At 42.2% G+C, this 19,699-nt stretch overlaps 1 protein-coding gene and 1 long non-coding RNA gene across 27 annotated transcripts in view, besides 2 other annotated features; one reads left to right on the forward strand and one right to left on the reverse strand.

Annotated features, from left to right (window-relative positions):
• LARGE1 (LARGE xylosyl- and glucuronyltransferase 1) overlaps positions 1 to 19,699 on the reverse strand; it is an 856,162-nt gene that overhangs the window by 502,806 nt on the left and 333,657 nt on the right. For 3 of the 26 annotated variants that reach the window (XM_047441606.1, NM_001378631.1, NM_001378630.1), the window contains exon 1: positions 2,677 to 2,794. The exons of 22 other annotated variants lie outside the window; for them this stretch is intronic. In XM_047441606.1, the coding sequence (XP_047297562.1) occupies positions 2,677 to 2,688 (12 nt within the window). In that variant the 5' untranslated portion in view covers positions 2,689 to 2,794. Of the gene's footprint in view, positions 1 to 2,676; positions 2,795 to 8,304; positions 15,112 to 19,699 lie in introns of those variants that run through there. One more of the 26 variants, XM_047441603.1, reaches the window with a different exon arrangement.
• Positions 175 to 469: a silencer, noted in NCBI's record as "tiled region #960; K562 Repressive non-DNase unmatched - State 24:Quies". NCBI's record gives its function as "represses a minimal TATA promoter and a strong SV40 promoter by Sharpr-MPRA in K562 cells {active_cell/tissue: K562}" and the evidence as "EXISTENCE:reporter gene assay evidence [ECO:0000049][PMID:27701403]".
• Positions 4,311 to 19,596, forward strand: LOC105373007 (uncharacterized). The gene is made up of 3 exons (XR_938183.3): positions 4,311 to 4,582; positions 17,375 to 17,467; positions 18,573 to 19,596. It is a non-coding gene; the product is annotated as an uncharacterized LOC105373007 (long non-coding RNA).
• Positions 10,194 to 10,263: a silencer, noted in NCBI's record as "silent region_13645". NCBI's record gives its function as "represses an Ori minimal core promoter by ATAC-STARR-seq in GM12878 lymphoblastoid cells {active_cell/tissue: GM12878}" and the evidence as "EXISTENCE:reporter gene assay evidence [ECO:0000049][PMID:35858748]".

Below are 19,699 nucleotides of genomic sequence, written 5' to 3' on the forward strand. Positions count from 1 at the left end.
TTCAATTAGTTGTAAAGGAGGCAATGGGATGAGTTTGTATTCAGAAAGAAAGCCCCAGGAAAAGGTGGAAAATTAAGAAATTTGGTGGTGGGGAAAGAACAAGTGGTAAGAAGCAGGTACATTTATTACAAATAGCTCACCCTCTTAGAGACGGCATGATATCTAGCACTCTTCCCCCACCTCCATCCACATTCTCCCCCTCTTTCAAGTCTCAACTTAGAAATCACTGCCTTCCAGCCACCCCCACCCCCACAGCCCCAGGCTGGATTAGGGGCTCCCAAAGCAAGAAGCAAGCTGTTTCCCTTCCTCCAGCACAGCATGTTATCCTGCTGGGTTCAATTTTCCATGCCCCTCTCCTGCACTTGACTGAAACTCCTTGAGGCAGGGACGATGTCTTTTTGACTGTGGTAACAACACAGTAATTATTCAAAAACTGTTTGATGAATGTGCATGACTACGGAGTCAGCCAGGCCTGAGTTCATTTTTCTCTGATATTTTCCTCACCTAGGAGCAGAAGTGTTCATGATTGCTAAAATCCAGGGTCAGGACAGAACAACAGAAGAGGCATAGTTTGTTGAGCCCTGAAGCCTGGGCTATAGAACTGGTTCTACTTTTAATGAGCTGTGTGACCTCAGGTAACTCACTTAACCTCCTTGAGTCTTAGTTTTCTCATCTGGAAAATGGGGGCCTACAATGTTATAGTATTCACAGGAGAAGGCACAGCATCCAGCCTCATGCGGGGCAAGCAACAGGTCTCCTCTAAGCCCACTTCTCCTCTCAGTGAATGCCTGTCAGCAATACCGAAGTTCAGATGACTCAGAATTTGGGGCATGATAAAAGCAGCAAATTCTGGTACCTTTGAAAGTAAAGGGGAAGTCAGGAATGCAGATGGTTTTGTCAGGGGAAATAAGTCACTTGTCACCTTGTCCTATGTTTCTGTAAAAAATGAGGCAGGCGGATCATGAGGTCAAGATATCGAGACCACCCTGGCCAACATGGTGAAACCCTGTCTCTACTAAAAATACAAAAATTAGTTGGGCATGGTGACGTGCTCCTGCAGTCCCAGCTACTCGGGAGGCTGAGGCAGGAGAATCGCTTGAACCCAGGAGGGAGAGGTTGCAGTGAGCCAAGGTAGCACCACTGCACTCCAGCCTGGCAATGGAGCGAGACTCCATTTCAAAAAAAAAAAAAAAAAAAAAAAATCACAAGCTGAAATCTGGAAAATGCAAAGTCCCTCCCTCTGGTAGATCTCCAAAACTGGACAGCACACTTTGGGTTTGAGGAGGAGGAAAAGTGCGTGGGAGTGATTAGCCATGCAACCTTTTGGGGCAGTCTCTCCATGCAATCCACACTGGTATTAATCTCATTTCCATGCCGCAACACACTTCAGTCCAACCAGGAACTTCTTACATCATGGGGTCAATGGAGAGAAGAGCACCCTCGAAGGCAGGCTGAGGAAACCTGGAGGGCACCAGGCAAATTTTCCCGAGAGCACCCCATAGAGAAGTCAACACCTGGCAGAGTAATATCCCACCATGTTGTTCATCACTATCAACACGCCAAAGGGTTCGTGTAATTAAAATGATAATAAAAATGAGAGTTAGTTTATTTTAATGGGCAGATCATTATCCTTGCAATGGCTGTTAATAATTCTAAGCAGCATGGTCTAAACTTCAATCAGCAAAAATGCAGTCATGCCCAAGATTATCACCTAATTCACTTATGTAAAGGGAGCACAGGCAACCCCAGGTTTTAAGGGTTTTATGTAAACTGGGGGGTTGGGGATGCTCTCAAAGGGAAATCTGCCTTCTTGAAGAAGCTGCCAATTACCAGGCAGACCCAAAGGGGAGCATCTATGAGGCGGTGTAAGTGATTCTAGGGTATATCTGATGCCAGGTGGTCCACAGAGAAGTTGACCAGATTAGCAGTATGAGCATGGAGGCAGAGAGCTGGACAGTGGACACACCTCACCTCTACAGGTGACTGCCCAAAACACAGGGGATGGAGGAAAGCCATGTCTCAATGGTGATGACACATTTCTGACCTTTGATAAATAAGGGAAAAACAGGAAAAGAGACTGGTTTTGTCAGGAAATGATGCTCACTCCTTCTCCAAGATGTGGATTTCCAGGAGTCATTGAGATACCCCAGTAAAGATAATAATAGAAAATATGCCTAGCACGTGCTGGGTGTCAGGCATTGTGGCAAGACCTTTATATGGGCTGACCTATTGAAACTCCTCCTACCAAGATTAAGGGTTGTCTATTATTTAGTACCCAAAGTTTGGTGGTCCTTTTCCTTACCTCAACTTTCAGTCCCCCAGTCCTAGATACTCTACTCTGAACTGATGTGTTTCTCTCTTTCCCTCCCTTCCCACTGGACCTGGCTTATTCAATGTGCTCTTCACTCTTCTGATTTACTGCAGGGTCAGGACTGAGCCTCTGCCTCCCTCCAGACACATTTTCATTCTCCAAGCAGTTTTTCAAACAATTAGGTACAATGTCTTTAGAGCTGGGCATTCCTGGCTTCCAAATCTCTCCAGGCCTTAATTTTCTCACCTGTAAAAAGGGTAATAGTAGTATATCCTGCTTCCTTCCTAAGGCGTTACTATATATGTAATCTGTAAGCTCTCCTCTGCCATACTGGAAATATTTTTTGCTCAAAATAGATTGCTTACCCATATTAACATTTTGCTGTGGATTACAAATCACCTTGACATATTTTAAAAAATTAAAAAAAGAAGTCATCCCAGCTGCAGAATGTTTGAAAAGTCATTTGCCTTTCATGTTGTTTCTGAGTGGTTGTCTTGGCAACCAACCTATATGTTCAGAGTATAATTGTTAAGAAACAGAAGTGGGGCGGGGCTTGAGATGCTGGGACAGAGACACTGGCAGATGCCTTGGAAGAAGATCGTGAAATGAGCACGAGCTTTGGAGTCTGGCTGGCCCAATTCTGAATCCTGACTCTACCACAACCAGCCTGGCAAAGTCACCTCTCTAAGTCTCAAGCTCCCCACCCATAAAATAGAGAAAACAATACACATTGCATGAGGTTTGAAAAAGCATTAAATGAGGTAGGAGAGTCAAAGTGCCTAGCACAATGCTTGCCACATCAGGGCTCGATATGAGTGTTTAAAATGACACATGCCATTAATCCCAGCACTTTGGGAGGCCAAGGTGGGCGGATCACTTGAGGTCAGGAGTTCAAGACCAGCCAACATGGTACAACCCCATCTCTACTAAAAATGCAAAAATTAGCCAGGCATGGTGGCGCATGCCTGTAATCCCAGCTACTTGGGAGACTGAGTCAGGAGAATCCCTTGAGCCCGGGAGGTGGAGGTTGCAGTGAGCCAAGATCGTGCCACTACACTCCAGCCTGGGCGACAGAGTGAGACTTTGTCTCAAAAAAAATTAAATACATAAAAATAAAATAAAATGGTTAACAACACATAGTCTGGAGACTGACTGACTGGGTTTGAATACTGGCTCCATCATTCACTATCTGAGTCATTCTGGGCAAGCAGTTAAACCTCTATGTACCTCAGTTTTCATCAGTAAATTGGGGCTACTTACAGCACATACTCCATGGGATTGTGAAAATTCTGGTGCTATATCTAAGCAATGGATATTGTTAACTGTTAATATTATGACTGATGATACTAAGAGCAAAAGACAATATTCACATCTATTAAAGGCACCTGCTGTTGCACGCCTGTAATCCCAGCACTTTGGTAGGCCGAGGCGGATGGACCACCTGAGGTCAGGAGTTCAAGACCAGCCTGGCCAACATGGTGAAAAACCATCTCCACTAAAAATACAAAAATTAGCCGGGCGTGGTGGTGTGCGCATGTAATCCCAGCTACTCGGGAGGCTGAGGCAGTAGAACCACTTGAACCCAGGAGGTGGGGGTTGCAGTGAGCCGAGATCGAGCCACTGCACTCCAGCCTGGGCAACAAAGCGAGACTCTGCTCAAAACAAAACAAAAAAAGTCATCTGCATTTGTGAGTATTCACCCTTGGCAGCACAGAGAAACTCCAGTTTAGCTCAGTTGAGATCATTTAATGAGACATTTATGGAACACCTTAATATGGGGCAGGTACTGAGGAGGGCGAGGGACCAGGGTCCATGATGAAGGAAACATGGCTGACGTTCTCAAGGAGTCCATGGTCTAGTGGATATTCAGTATCCATGACTGCACAAGTTACCTCAAAATGCAGCAGCTTAAAACAGCACCAGTTATTTATTAACTCAAATGGTTTCTGTGTGTCAGGAATCTCAGAGTATATTCGCTGGGTGGTTCTTAGGATTCCTCATGAGGTTGCAGTCATCTGAATACTTGCTCTGGGATGTAAGATCTAATTCTATGCTGGCTCCCACATACATGCCCGGCAGTTGATGCCAGCTATCAATAAGAAGGCTCACGTTTTTGCCACTCCAGAAGTCTGCTTGAGAGTCTTTACAACATGCTGGCTTCCCCCAAAGTGAGTGGTCCCAAAGACAGCAAGGTGGAGGCAAGGTTATCTTGAAAACTTGGCCTCAGAAGTAACATGGCATCATTCCTGCAACATCTTATTGGTTATATAGGTAAGTTTATGCAATGTGGGAAGGGACTAGACATGGGAGTGAATGAATGCTAGGAGGTGGGAATTACTGGGTGCCATCTTGGAAACTGGCTACCACATCTGTAATTATAGAATGTTATGAACTGGACTGTGATAAATTCCAAGTACAGCCATCCTTGGAGTCTGTGGGTTATTAGTTACATGACCCCTTTTGGAGATCAAAATCCAAAGATGCTCAAGTCTCTGATATAAAATGGTGCCCTATTGCATATAACCTATGCACATCCTCCTGTATACTTTAAATCATCTCTAGATTACTTATAACACCTAATAAAATGTAAAAATTATGTAAACAGTTGTTATACTGTATTGTTTTGGGAATGACAAGAAAAAACTCTGTACATGTTCAATATAGATGCAACCATCTATTTTTTTTTCAAGTGTTTTCAGCCCTTGGTTGTTTGAGATACGTATAGCAGTGGTCCAGTAGAAGGACAATTAAAGGGGAGTGATAAGAAAGGAGGGACAACAATCAGATAGAGATGTCTGGAGGAAATAAACCTTAAATTTGGTCTTGAAAAATGGGTTGAAAATTGAGATTCTCAAATATTGGGAGAAAAGCATGATAGGACAACGAAGGCACAGAGATATAAACAATTGTGTGTGTGTGTGTGTGTGTGTGTGTGTGTGTGTGTGTGTGTGTGTGTGTAAAATAACTATAGTCTGATACACTTAATGAAAAAGCTTAGAGTTGAAAATGATAGAGATGGATATGGAAAGGTAGGACAGGATCAAATGTTGGAGAAGACCAGGACCATATGCCATACAAAAGAGCACTGGATAATATCCCAGAGACAGTGGGAAAAACAAAAGGGGTTTCATGAGCTAAGAGATGTGATCTCATCTATATTTTTGGAATATACTCTAATGATTTATGGAGGAAAGATTAACAGAAGGCAGCTGAGAGGCATCAGAACCTTGGAGGAAGCCTGGTGAAAATCTAGATTCCCAGGATCCTATTGAGAGGTTACAATTCATTAGATTTGTGGTAGGGCCTAGAAATCCGTATTTTAAAACCAGCACCCCGGGTGATTCAAAAGCAAGTCTCCATAGATTACCCTCTAAGAAACACCAAGTTAGGAGACAGAAAATGCTATTTCTCAAGGTCTTCTTGGCTGAATCATTTACACTGGATCAACAACCAACTTATTGTTCAGAAACAAGTCATAAGATAGCCCCAAGCTTAAGTGCCCCACCTGAAACTAATACTTTGTTGGATTTATGGGGAGAGAAGACCTTTCTCAAATATTAATAAAAGGAAGTGTTGATGTAAGATCAGGAGTTCTTTAGCTATCTCTATACCTCATAGGCAGTTTATGACAGTGAGGCCAGGAAGGCTTCTTGGCTGTACTTCTTTTTAAATTTAGAAGTCCTGTTTAAATACAAGCAGCTCTAGGTCAGCTACAGCAAAATTCTTAGTAACCAGCATCAACAGGAGAACTGAATTACATATTTCATGCCTTCTTATATTAGCAACTTAGAAGGAAATGTTGAGAGAGCCTGGAAGCTGGTCTTTGCAGGTGACAGCAATCTCCCGTAAGCATCAATGAACATTTATTCAGACATACAACCCTAGCCCAAAATAAGATTAGCTGGCTTGCACCTAAAAATGCTCATTATTCAGAAGTCTACTAAGCAACCATCTTCTGCAAACATAAATAATTCCAGAATGATGACAAAGGAGAAGTGAACCAAGGGGAATGTGATCGTGGATCTACAGACACGTCCCTCCTCCTATCGGTGGCACAAAACCCCTTCCTCTCTCATCGCCCAGCAAGAAGCATCCTCTATTTAGCTTTGCGAAGCTTGAGGGGATTGGTCACTGGAGCATTTACAGACTGCCTGAACATCCTTCAGTACTTTATGTTATGAAATGGAGCATTTCAAAGCACTGGGAATTCTGATTTGTGAACTGGACTGTTACAGTGGCTTAATTTCCTGAAATATAGCTGCCTTCTTCACTAATAGATTTTTCAATGCACTGAGGAGAAAATTGCATTAGCTGCTGCGTAGCCTGATCTTAATAATTTTAGAAGCTGCAATTCTTATTACCGTGCACAGTATGTATTTATGTATGTAGACTTAGCACAGTGTCTGACACATAGAAGGCACTCAATGAATAGTTTTGAAAAAGTGAAACAATGCATTTACACAGAAAACACTTATTGAGAACCATTGCTTCTGATGGGGATATACTGATGCACCTGCTTCGTTCATTCATTCATTCAACACTTCAGCGACTTCTAAGTGTAAAGCTCTGTGCCAGATGATTGCTTTGAGGAAATAACAGTGCAGTTTGGGGAGACATAACAAATAATTTCAGAAAGGATGGTCACAGCTGTCAGGGTGGTGGTTTACCCTGACAGGAGGTGGGAGTGAGGGAGGTGGGGCATGGGATGGTGAAGATATCCAGGTGGCTTTGGTGCTATTGTTCTAGTTTTAAGTTAGATGACACGGTGCTTTATCAGGGTATGCCATAACCTGTCTATCTGTAGTCTTCCTATGTATGTGAATATGCTCATATATACAGATATCACCGCGAAAGCACATGGATAAACATGTGTGTGTATACATACCCTCTCTATCTGTGGAGGATTGGTTCCAGCACCCTCAAGGATACCAAAATCCTCAGGTGCACAAGTCCCCTGATGTAAATAAGTGTAGTATTTGCATATAACATAGGTATATCCTCCCATATACTTTAAATCATCCCTAGAGTGCTTATTAATACCTAATGCAATGTAAATACTATGTAAATGGCTGTTATACAGTATTGTTTAGAGCATACTGAAAAGAAAATAAATATCCATAAATGTTCAGTTCAGGTGTAACCCATCTATTCTTTTCCCCTGAATACTGTCAAGTCTTGGTGGGTTGAACCCAAGAATACAGAACCCACAGATATAGATAGGTGACTATGTATGCGTGGTGTATTTAGTTATATTTCATTCCTGTTCAAAGTGCTAAGAAGAGAGATAATCACTCTGCTATTAAACGCAAGTGGAAAAAAAGATTTTGTTTCTGTTACCATAAATTTACTCTACTGCATGCATTCTTAACAGACACAAAAGTTGGTTCTTGTGGGGATCAAAAAAAAATAAGATATTCCAATGGTTTGGTATTAAAATCTCATGTTAGAGGTTTAATCAGGGAAATAAAAAGTATAAAAAGGCACATAGGAGAGGGGAGTGATAATATTTAAAAAGAGGTTAAGAAACACCACCCTCCAGGATCTTACAACACTAAAATAGCCACAAAACAGAGAAGTATGCAAAAGCACACGCATACACATCTCAAAAACCTGCTCCCCGATCTTAGCCTCTGCTGAATCCAACAGTTCTTTCTTGCCTTTCTGAATTTAATCAGAAGGCAGCTGAATCAGAAAACACACTTCTCTGTTGTCAAGTTCATCTGGATATTTGGGGAGCAATTTCTCTCGCTCTCACAACCATACCTTCTTCCACTCTTACCTCCGCCTTCCCATGGAGCCATCTAAAAAGGGCAGCCACATAGGCTGCAATTAAAGAAGCCCCACACTGCTCTACATTAATGAGGCACTTTGCTTTTCATTTTCAGAGGGCTCTTTAGCACTTTGTAGGTGACACCCTTGCCTGTGACAATCTCTGTTACTAGCTGCGGAGATACACCTTGCAGGTGAGTTTAAACACACGGACAGCAACTTACAAGCAGGCAAAGACAGTTGAGGAGGATGATCCAGAGTTGTCCCTTTATTAATTTCTGATTGGTTTAAAAACTGTTTTCTTTCACCACACATAGAAGGCAAAAGTCTCTTGGTGTAGTAAAAGGAAAACCTTGTCAATGGCAGTCCAAATGTCTTCTGGCTGACAGCCAAAATGAATCTCTTCACTGGTCACCCTGAAAAGATGATGGCTTCACTCAGCTCTTGTAATACATCTAACAAACATTAACCAAAGGTCTTATTGCAATTTTGAATACTTTTAACCTTGACCTTCAAGCCCTGCTTCAGAAGATTTAGACCGTGGTAATATTGACATTCACCTCCCCCCGCCAACAACAGGCCTTTACTGTTTAATATGATGGTTGTCAAGGCAACCAGATTGTGAGGATGGCTGTCTAACCTTTCTAGATTTAGAATTTATCATACATGAGAATGCAGAAGGGAAAAATGTCACCCTTAAAAAGTAGTATAGAAGACGGTACAAGGTACAAGGTAATTCCATTGTGCCTTTACTTCCACTTGGGGATTTGGCTACTGATCAAAGGAATTCCTAATGCTCTAAATCCCCTTTAAAAAAATCACCTAATTCCGAAAGTGAGTCATTTATCTAAACACTCATTGTGTGTGCCAAATTCTGTACTAGATACTAAGGAAAGAGGAGTAAATGAAAAATGTTCCTCTTTCTTAGAAGATCACCATTAAATGGGAGAAAATATTATTATGTTTATAATAACAATCGCATTTGTTGAATGCTTACTATGTAACAGACAGTATACTAAAGCAATTTACAAGTATCTTTTAATTCACCCAATAACCTTTATTACTGTGTGTGATGTAGACATCAAGGAAATCACCCAATTATAATGAATTATAGGAGCTGGGATTAAAAATCAGATTTGCCTCTTTCCAAAAACCTTAATCGTTTTTGGAAATGGATTCAAATATGATACTCACATGATTATTACACAGTGAAATCTGTATATAAATTCTTACCAACATTCTTAGAACATAGCAAAATTAATTGTACTCAGAAATGGGAAGTAAAATCAGGAAAGACAAAGGTGACTACTAGATTGAGCTCATACTGTTAGCAGAAACAAACATTCCAATGCAGTTATAATAGAGTCATACACCTTCTCAGAACAAATGTTTCTCCAATCTCTAAAGGACTGCAAGTGGCCAGTAACGCTCTACTGAGAAAGCTGTTAACACCAAAATACAAAGCAGGAAGGGAAGCTTGGAAACATATGTCCAGACCCAGGAAGATTGTTACAATGGATTTTTAACTTCTGTACTTTAGAGTGTGTGATATGGTTTGGCTGTGTCCCCACCCAAATCTCATCTTGAATTCCCAGGTGTTGTGGGAGGGACCTGGTGGGAGGTAATTGAATCATGGGGGCAAGTCTTTCCCGTGCTGTTCTTGTGACAGTGAGTAAGTCTCATGAGATCTGATGGTTTTAAAAAGAGGAGTTCCCCTGCACAAGCTCTCTCTTTGCCTGCTGCCATCCATGTAAGATGGGACTTGCTCCTCCTTGCCTTCCACCATGATTGTGAGGCATCCCCAGCCACGCGGAATTTTAAGTCCAGTTAAATCTCTTTCTTTTGTAAATTGTCCAGTCTTGGGTATATCTTTATCAGCACCATGAAAACGGACTAATACAGTGTGCCAGGGAAAGTCTCAGCCTTCTAAAACTAACGGTTAGCATTTGTACATTACGGAGGGTCCTGAGCAGGAGCCAAGTGGAGCCTGGATGTCCTCCTTCAGGACACTGATAAAGACCTGCTGCAGCCCCAGCCCAGGGCTGGCCACACTTTGGAATTACATGGGCGCACTACTGGGCCTACCCCAGAAAAACTAAACTATGACATCTAGTGGTAGGGCCTGGCATTGCTGCTTGTTTGGGTTTGGAACACAAGCCATGCTAAAGTGTCATCCAGAGTGGCCCCTAGCATTGTTTTGGTGGTGTTGTTTTGTGTTACCAACAGTACCAAGTGATTCTTAGGTGCAATCAAGCCTGAGGTACACAACAATTGGGAAGTGAGCCAATCAATTAATTCTAACTGCGGAAGATCAAGACCCAACTTAATAGCACAGCTCTGTAACTTTATTTTCTGTTTGCACAGAATTGCTGAGTTCCTACATAGTATACATATTTTTTAATCCCCTGGGAATATTTAAGCGTCCTTGATCTGGAAGCAACATGGAATGATGGCACGAGCACTGTCTTCAATACAAGCTGGAGTGTGGCAATTCCCTTCTCTGAATTTCAGGTTTTGCATCTGTAAAGCAGACACAAGGCGGCCGGGCGCAGTGGCTCACGCCTGTAATTCCAACACTTTGGGAGGCCAAGGGGGGCAGATCACCTGAGCTCGGGAGTTTGAGACCACCCTGACCAACACGGAGAAATCCCATCTCTACTACAAATACAAAATTAGCCAGGCATGGTGGTGCATGCCTGTAATCCCAGTTACTTGGGAGGCTGAGGCAGGAGAATCGCTTGAACCCAGGTGGCGGAGGTTGCGGTGAGTCGAGATCGCACCACTGCACTCCAGCCTAGGCAACAAGAATGAAACTGTCACAAAAAAAGAAAAAAAAAAAAGCAGACACAAGGCCACCTATTGCTCTGTCAGCCTGAAAATGGGATGATGTACAGGAAAATACCCAGCAGAGGACCTTACAGAATCGAGCTGCTGGTTCATTCTGAATCAAGAAGGAAGAAATATTTCATTATGTGACAGGTGGAATAAAGGCCTGATCACAGTGAGTGAGCTCGAGACGCTAGTCCTTTACCACATGGCATCAGTTGTGATTTTCTCTCCTTTATAACGGCTGGTTTTGGAGGGTGGGACTTATGTATATATACAATGTAAGGGCAACACACACACTCTGGGACACAATGTACAATAAGTAATAGCAGCACATTAATAATAACAGGGGATGAGAAAGGGGAGTTTCAGCAGTGCTATTATGCCTCTGAATAAGATGTTGATCATTGCTTGCTATTTTCTCTTCAAACATGTTATTTAGCCAGTAGTGAGCAGATTTAAAACCCACTGGGGTTCTTGAATTCAGCCTGGCTGAGTGGTTAAATCCAATGAAAATATTCTAGTTAGATGAGTTTTTAGCCAAGGGAGTTGAGTATACAAAAGCATACATAACCGGTCAGTTTGTAAGACGTCCATCTTTCAAAAATGATAATAGGAATGATGATGATGATGACAAAAGTAATAAGAATGCATGTGCAGCATTTTCTCATTTTCAATGAAATTTTCCATCTATTATTTCATTGGATGCTTGAAATAAGTTTGTGAATTAAGCAAGTAAGGGATTCATACCTCTATTTTACACATAGGAAACTAAGACTTAGAAACATCATTGTCTCAAATTGCACTGCTAGTAAGTGGGAGAGTTAAAATTTGCCCCTTCTGACCTTCAGGAAAATCACTGTCATAATGTGGAGGGCCTTCTAACACCAGTACCTAATGCTGGAACTTTATCATGGGAAACAGATGGAATTAAGAGACTGTGAAGCATCACGTACTGTTCTCAGCAAGAAAATTCACATTTTGATACCTTTGTGCACCTTTTCCTAAAATCAGCTTGGTGAAATGGTACAACCAGGGATGAAAACTTGAAATGTTTCCAAGTTTCCTATCCAAAGTAACTTTGTTTAGAAATAAATAAAGTTATTTTGTTGACCTGGCTTGTTTTCCATGCTTCAGTTAGAAGACAGAGAGAATCTGACTGGGCACGGTGGCTCAAATCTGTAATCCCAGCACTTTGGGAGGCTGAGGTGGGCAGATCACGAGGTCAAGAGCTCAAGACCAGCCTGACCAACATGGTGAAACCCCATCTCTACTAAAAATACAAAAATTAGCCGGGGGTGGTGGCACGTGCCTGTAATCCCAGCTACTCAGGAAGCTGAGGCAGGAGAATTGCTTGAACCCAGGAGGCAGAGGTTGCAGTGAGCCGAGATTGTGCCATTGCACTCCAGTCTGGGTGACAGAGTGAAACTCCGTCTCAAAAAAAAAAAAAAAAAAAAGAATCTGACCCATCAGTGTCCCAAATGAGGAAAGAGAGTAATGAATGGACATCACCATGGGGTCACCAAGTGATAGATACATCTTAAAGCTTCACATGGCTGGGAATAAAATGACACAAATCCATTGGACTGGCCTCTGACTTTAGTACTTCCATTTTCTATCCCATCACCTTCACAGTCAGCACCTGCCTAGAGCGTGGGGTCACCCCAATTGTGTCAGTTTCTAATATGAAGGGCAATTTTGCCCCCAAAGGACCCCTGGCAATACTTGGAGACACTTTTGGTTGTCATGACTTGGGCACTGGGGTGCTACTGGATCCAGGGGGCAGAGGCAAGGAATGCCACTCAACATCCTCAGACAGGACAGCCCCCGCAACAAAAAACTATCTGGCCCAGAACATCATGAGTGCTAAGGTTGAGGCACCTTGCTCAGAAGTACCAGCTGAAACTCAGAAAAAAATGGATGTGGATGAAAAGTCTTTGTCCTGGTACAGGAGAGTACACATTTTGTCTAAGTTTTGACCTAATGGAAAACATTGCATTATCTGGAAGTAGGAAAGACCTTGAAAGAGGAAAAAAAAAAAGATGAGTTTGAAGTCCTCAGAATCCTTAAAGAAAGAAAAGTGACAACTCTTTAACCACTACATATAAGAGAATTGAATGAGACTTATACATGAAAGAATATAAAGTTTAGATAAGCAAGATTGTCCAGTGACTGATTCAGGGACATCTCTCTTGGCTGAAGGCAATGAACTAGCCATTGGCTGCCATTCTCTCAACAAGAGGGATTACGCCTTTCCACTGTACCTAGGCACCCTGGTCACCCAGCAGGTACGCCTCATCCAAAACCCAACTTCACACTGAACCAAGGGCTCCAAGCTCCAGGTGCTGGACAGCTGATGTTACTCAGCATTCCCCTGAATACTTCCACCAAAGTTCAGACTCTTGGCATCTGAGCCCAAATGTTAACTTCATTAGGTCAAGAGCATCCTCATGCTTGTCTTGTACAAAAAGAAGAGGAGAGTGAATTCCTTCTGCTAGATAGTAGCTCCAAGGTGTACCTGGCTGTGCTTTCAACCAGGAACACCTCTTTGCAGGATGCTTAAAGAATGGGCATTTGTGCCCCCTGCGGATACTGTACTATGTTATTATTCAGGGGAAACAAACCACATTAAGTATGAGCACATGTCTACCTTGGACAGTTCCAGTCACATATATTATACCCTGTCTAGATGACAAATAGGACTCTTGCTCTTCCTGCTAAAGCTCAATCCTTCCTCAGTTTTCTCCATCTTCCTACCACCATGCACCCACCAGCTTGTTCCAGAATTCTAGGAGCTAGACATGATCCATCTCCCCCACATCCCAGATCTACCTTTCTGTCACAGCCACCATGTCAAACCCTCCCTGTCAAGTCAGCTGTAAAAATGAATCTGCCTCTCAATGCAGTCACCTCCACAGGATGAAGGCAGTGCATGGAGGTAGTTTTTCACCAAAACACCTTCTTTTTGAGAACCATCACAGGGCAAAATATTAAGTCTGGAGAAAATAAATCAATTTTATCTCTTGATTTTCTACTCATCTACCAAGATTCCTGCCCTCAGGATCCATATTGTCACTAGGTCACTGGACTTGAAAACCTTAAGGTCAGGGTTTTGGACTTAGTAGCAATCAATGCCTCTCAAGGTATATAGCTGGCAACCTGTTGCAAGTTACCCGATAAATAAGAAAATTAGAACCTCGGAAAGAAATTTAACAACGCCTATCCCATTCAGCTCCATCTTCTGCCCCTGAGCCCACTGAATAGGTCAGGGACATTGATTTTAAAATGGAATCTGTACACTATAAAATGAAAGTTCAATTTTCCAAATATAAGGACAGTTGGGTCCCCCCCATCCAGTATGAAGTGTGCTTCCCTCGCCTTGTCCATCCCTTCAGTAATGCACTTCAGTACACACATATCTCCCCCATAAGAACACACTTTGTGATAGATAGTTACTATTTTTACCTTGGAAGCTCCCTTAGCACTTTCCAAGACACATATATAGGCATTCCATTTATTTGCTTTCTTTTAATCAAAATGTGGACATACTGACTATACTGATACTGAAACCTCAGAAATAAAAATTGGCCCAACTTTCCCCGCTGTGGGCATCCTGACCAGTCCTGGATGTTAGTTTGAGATCTGGTTTATTAGTTTCCTCAATTATCAAAAAGGTATGCCCTTCATAAGTGAAAAAGAGAAGGAAGTGTCAGGCAGAGAAAAGAAGTGCATTTCTTTCCTTTCTAATAGAAAAAGTTTAATAAGAGTATTAACTTTTATAGCTAAGCTGAGCAGATAAAAAGCAGGTAAAGGAGTTTTGCTTGGGAAAAAGTATTCTCTTCTTTGGGCAACGAAAGCCTGTCATTAACTCAAAGAGCAAGATAAAATGCTCTTACGCCTCCTCTTCACCTCCTCCTCAAAGCTTCTGTGTTCTCGACAATGATGTACCTAGCATGGGAACACCACACTTCCCCCCGACTCCTGGAAATCACAGTGGCCCCCAAGGCTCGGCTCAGGGTTCCCCTTTTTCTGTGAAGTCATCCCTGACTATCCAGCTGGTAGCTGATTGGTACTACACTCTTCCCTATTTCATTAGTTTTCACTAAATTCTTGGAGAAGACATGAGCTTTTCCTCATCTGTATTCTGGAACAGTGTGCATTCAGCAAATCCTTATCCACTGACTGATTTGTATCTAGGTACAGACCTGAGTTGTTTCCTCCTAATCAGATGAGAATTCAGCTACCTATTAAATAGAGTTAACATCAGGTTTTCCAAGCCAGCTGGTTTCCCTGTGCTACTGAAAAAAAAAAAATGAAAACTCAGCTGGCAGTCCATCCATCTTAATCTTGAAGGAAGCAGGACTTTCCCCACATACGTACTGGGTGTCTCGGAAAATCCTAACATGATCCAACCCAAACTCCAAACTGGCTTAGAAGTCACAGATGAAAAAGAGAAAGTGGGCTGGGCGCATTGGCTCACGCCTGTAATCCCAGCATTTTGGGAGGCTGAGGCTGGCAGATCACTTGAGGTCGGGAGTTTGAGACCAGCCTGGCCAACATGGTGAAACCCTGTCTCTACTAAAAATACAAAAATTAGCCAGGCATGGTGATGCGCGCCTGTAATCCCAGCTGCTCCAGAGGCTGAGGCATGAGAATAGCTTGAATCTGGGAGGTGGAGGTTGCAGTGAGCCGAGATCGCACCACTGCATTCCAGCCTGGGTGACACAGCAAGACTTCGTCTCAATAAAAAACAAACAAAACAAACAAACAAACACCACAGAAAAAGGAGTGTGAGAGGAGAGAGAAACTCACTTATATACATTAATTATTCCTGCTTCTGAGATAAGCATTTTCTTCTCACAGCAAACCTACAAAGGAGACGGGGGAGATTCTTTTGGTTGCCTATCCAGAGAGCTACACTTCAGATTCCCTACTGAGAAGGCTGAAAACACACAGACACACACACTGAGACACACATAGAAACGCACACACAGGCAAAGACACAAAGAATCATCACTTTTTCAGTCTTCCCTGAAGACAGGTCATGGGCCTGAGACACCATCTTGGCCAATGTACATGAAGCAAAGTCTCCTAGGAAATCTGGGGGAGAAGATTCCCTGTTTGGTAATGAGAGACAGAGTGCATATGAGAATAAGGTTGCCTTCCCTCTTCCCATCTACAGTCCTGTAGGCAGCAGATTTCTGGATTTATTCTCACCCCTCCACCATGAGGAGCCCACGAAAATTCCCAAGATAATAACCACCACTCTTGGAACTGCCAATCGAAGGGCTTCTTGATATTTGACACAAAATTAGTAGATTGTTTAAGGCACTTTACTCAGGTTATATATTAGATCACAACATAAAAGATCAGGAAACTGATCACACAGGTAATGCAGGGAGGAATCACTGTAGCTGCACAAAGGGATGTAAAGTGAGTCTTTCGTGACCTCTCCCCATTAGGTTCCTTTATGCTCACCACGCCCGGCTAATTTTTGTATTTTTAGTAGAGACAGGGTTTCACCATGTTGGCCAGGCTGGTCTCAAACTCCCGACCTCAAACGATCCACCTGCCTCGGCCTCCCGAAGTGCTGGGATTACAGGTGTGAGCCACTGCACCCGGCCCACTCTCTCTTTTTCATCTGTTACTTCTAAGTTAGCCAGTTTGGAGTTTGGGTTGGATCACGTTAGGATTTTCTGAGTCACCTAGTTAAGTAAGTGGGGAAGGTCCCAGTTCCTTCAGGATTAAGATGGATGGACTGCCAGTTGAGTTTTCATTTTTTTCCGTAGCACAGGGAAACCAGCTGGCTTGGAAAACCTGATGTTACTCTTTACGTGTTCCCAAAAGACACCTCCAAAATGACCTAAGTAAAAAGGGTAGGCGCTCGCATGCACACAAAGCCTCTATAAGTTTGTGGGTGCTCTTCTACCTGGATTATCCCTTGCAAGTCCTTCTTACAGAGACAATGACACCCATGATAGTCACAAGTCATATGCAGGTGAGCCAAACCCCATGGTATGCTGCACCCTTACACCTGTGAATACGCCATGCTGCCCCCAAACAGGGAGAACAACAAGATTTCTTTTTTTTTTTTTTTTTCAGACGGAGTCTTGCTCTGTCGCCCAGGCTGGAGTGCAGTGGCACGATCTCTCGGCTCACGGCAAGCTCCGCCTCCTGGGTTCACGCCATTCTCCTGCCTCAGCCTCCCAAGTAGCTGGGACTACAGGCGCCCACCACCACGCCTGGCTAATTTTTTGTATTTTTAGTAGAGATGGGGTTTCACCATGTTAGCCAGGATGGTCTCGATCTCCTGACCTCATGATCCGTCCGCCTCAGCCTCCCGAAGTGCTGGGATTACAGGCGTGAGCCACCGCGCCCAGCTGAGAACAACAAGGTTACTATTCCCATTATCTATGTGAAGTCATTAATTACCTTCTCTTTCCTTCCCTCCCTCTGCTCCTTTCACAGTCGAGAGAAAAATATAGTTTTAAAAATTGTGCTACTACAGAAAGTCTGCAAAATGCAATGAAAACGAGAAAACTAGAATACATGTACCCAGAGGTAACATATTAAACACTGTCATATGATCTGCCTTTGTAAATAATTATATAACTACACAGACATCTTTAAACTTTGAAGAGAACTAGTTTTGTGTCTTATTTTAAACTTAATATTACATCATGAGCATTTCCCTTTCCACTTATTGAAGCAACATTCAACGTTGCTATTAAATCAATAAAATGTTATTTAAAAATGATTTGGAAAAGCTTCAACTATCTTATTTCAACGATGTACCATACTTTACCTAACCTTTCATGAATGTTGGGATTTAGGTTGTGTCTAAGATTTACTATTGCAAACAAACAATACCATGATGAAAATCCTTTGATTCCACCTTTATTTCCTTGGAGCAAAGAATTTCTGCCTCACAGAACCTGTATATAATTTTTAAGAATCTTGATATTGCCAAAATATCCAAAAAGGGTATTCTGATGTTGACTTACAATAGACAATTTAAGAAGGGTTGGCCCTCATAGATACTTCCCATTAATAAGTAATAAAAATTTTTAAAGACTCCTATATAAAATCTTATTTTCTTCTTTCTTTGAATATATTTGTATATTTTTACCATTTGCATTTTTTTGCGAGTTCCCTTATTCTTATTCTTTACCCATTTTTCTGCGAGTCTGTATTTCCTATTTATCTGCAACAGCTCCTTATGTATTACATGCTGTATCTGTTTCAAGTACAATTTTTCCAATTTATTACTTGTCCTTTAATTTTGTTTCAGTTTATTCAGAATTTTCCCCTTGATTTTTTCCATTGCAATTAATCAAATCTACTGGAGTTTTCCTTTAAGATTTTTTTTTTTTCATTTTCCTTAGGCACACAGAAACCTTCCTCATTCTTAGACCAACATTTTCATATTTTTCTTCTAGTTTTGTTTAATGTTTCTGTTTTTAAATTCAAGCTTTCAATCAATACAAAATTTATTTTTTTAATCTGGTGATATCTTATTTGATCACTTCCCAAATCCTCAATCACATTAATGCCTTTTGTTGGAAAATCCATTCATTCTCTACAGGTTGGAAATTCTTTCTTGAGCAAGAGACCATGGATACCCAGAACTTAAGTTATCGGCCTTCTCTTTTTATGTTCACGGCAGATAAAATAACGTTACTGGGAATCCTCCGTGCTGAATGAAACAGCCTCAAAATTCTTACCAAGACTTCTTCATTCAAACACCTGGTTAGAGCCAACTATGAGCAAGCACATGCTAAGAATTGGGAAGCAGAAAGAAGAGCCGAGGGGTCCATCCACGTAGGCTCCACACTGCAGTGGCAAGTGAGACATACATCCACCAATACCCATGCATCAAAGGTATTTAACAAATAAGTACACAAGGATCAATGTCATAAAAAATGAAGTAACAGGTGGAAAGATAACCTATAGAAGGGGAACCCAAATTTGAACAGAATGCCAGGCCCAGAACACTTTCCTTGAGATGCTAACTGAGCTCTAGAAGAAAGATGAGGAAGGGAGATTCCTATTTCAGGTAACATAGTGAACTAGACAACCTCAAAACCCTCACAGTGAAAACATTTTGAAAAGTTAACAAGGAACATATATGTGTGCGTGTGTGTGTGTGTGTGTGTGTGTGCGCACGCACGCATATAAAACTTAAGTTGGCATCACAGCAAAAATACAAAAATGAAAAGCAAGTCCAAGTTGGAAAATTAGAATATAAGTAATCCCTGAAACTCAGTATTGCTTTGAGGGGAATGGCTCTTGACCTTCTGCTTTCACTGCTGTGAGGGTGCAGGAGGGAGAAGATGAGGCCCATGGCCTGGCTTAAGAGGGAGTCAGAGAGAGAACCTTTGCATGAAGTTAGGACCCGAATCCTACACTCTTAGTATAAAGGTGATTTAGAAACAAACCCCCACACACAGAAGGGAGGAACAGAAAACACACTGATTTTTATCTGGATGACTACTAAAGTGGGGGTGGGAGGCCTTCCCTGAGAATTAGCACCCTCAAGATGGATCACACAGTGGTGTGTTGTCTGGACTCAAGCTATCTGGTGTCTGACAGACCTCAAATGCAGAATTTAATTCAAAGTGATTAGGACTGACAGGGCCTCAGGCAACTAGCCGCAATAAATGCAAATCTGCTTCCAGGCAAACACAACATTACACCTCCAGGCTTTCATAAATCTGCATGGAATTTCCCATAGAGTTCAACTGTAGTAAGTGAGGAGGAAAGGCTAGGGCCCACGGCTAGGCTGCAGGGCTC

Source organism: Homo sapiens, chromosome 22 (genome assembly GCF_000001405.40).
Source record: "Homo sapiens chromosome 22, GRCh38.p14 Primary Assembly".
In the NCBI taxonomy this organism is placed as follows: Eukaryota; Metazoa; Chordata; class Mammalia; order Primates; family Hominidae; genus Homo; species Homo sapiens.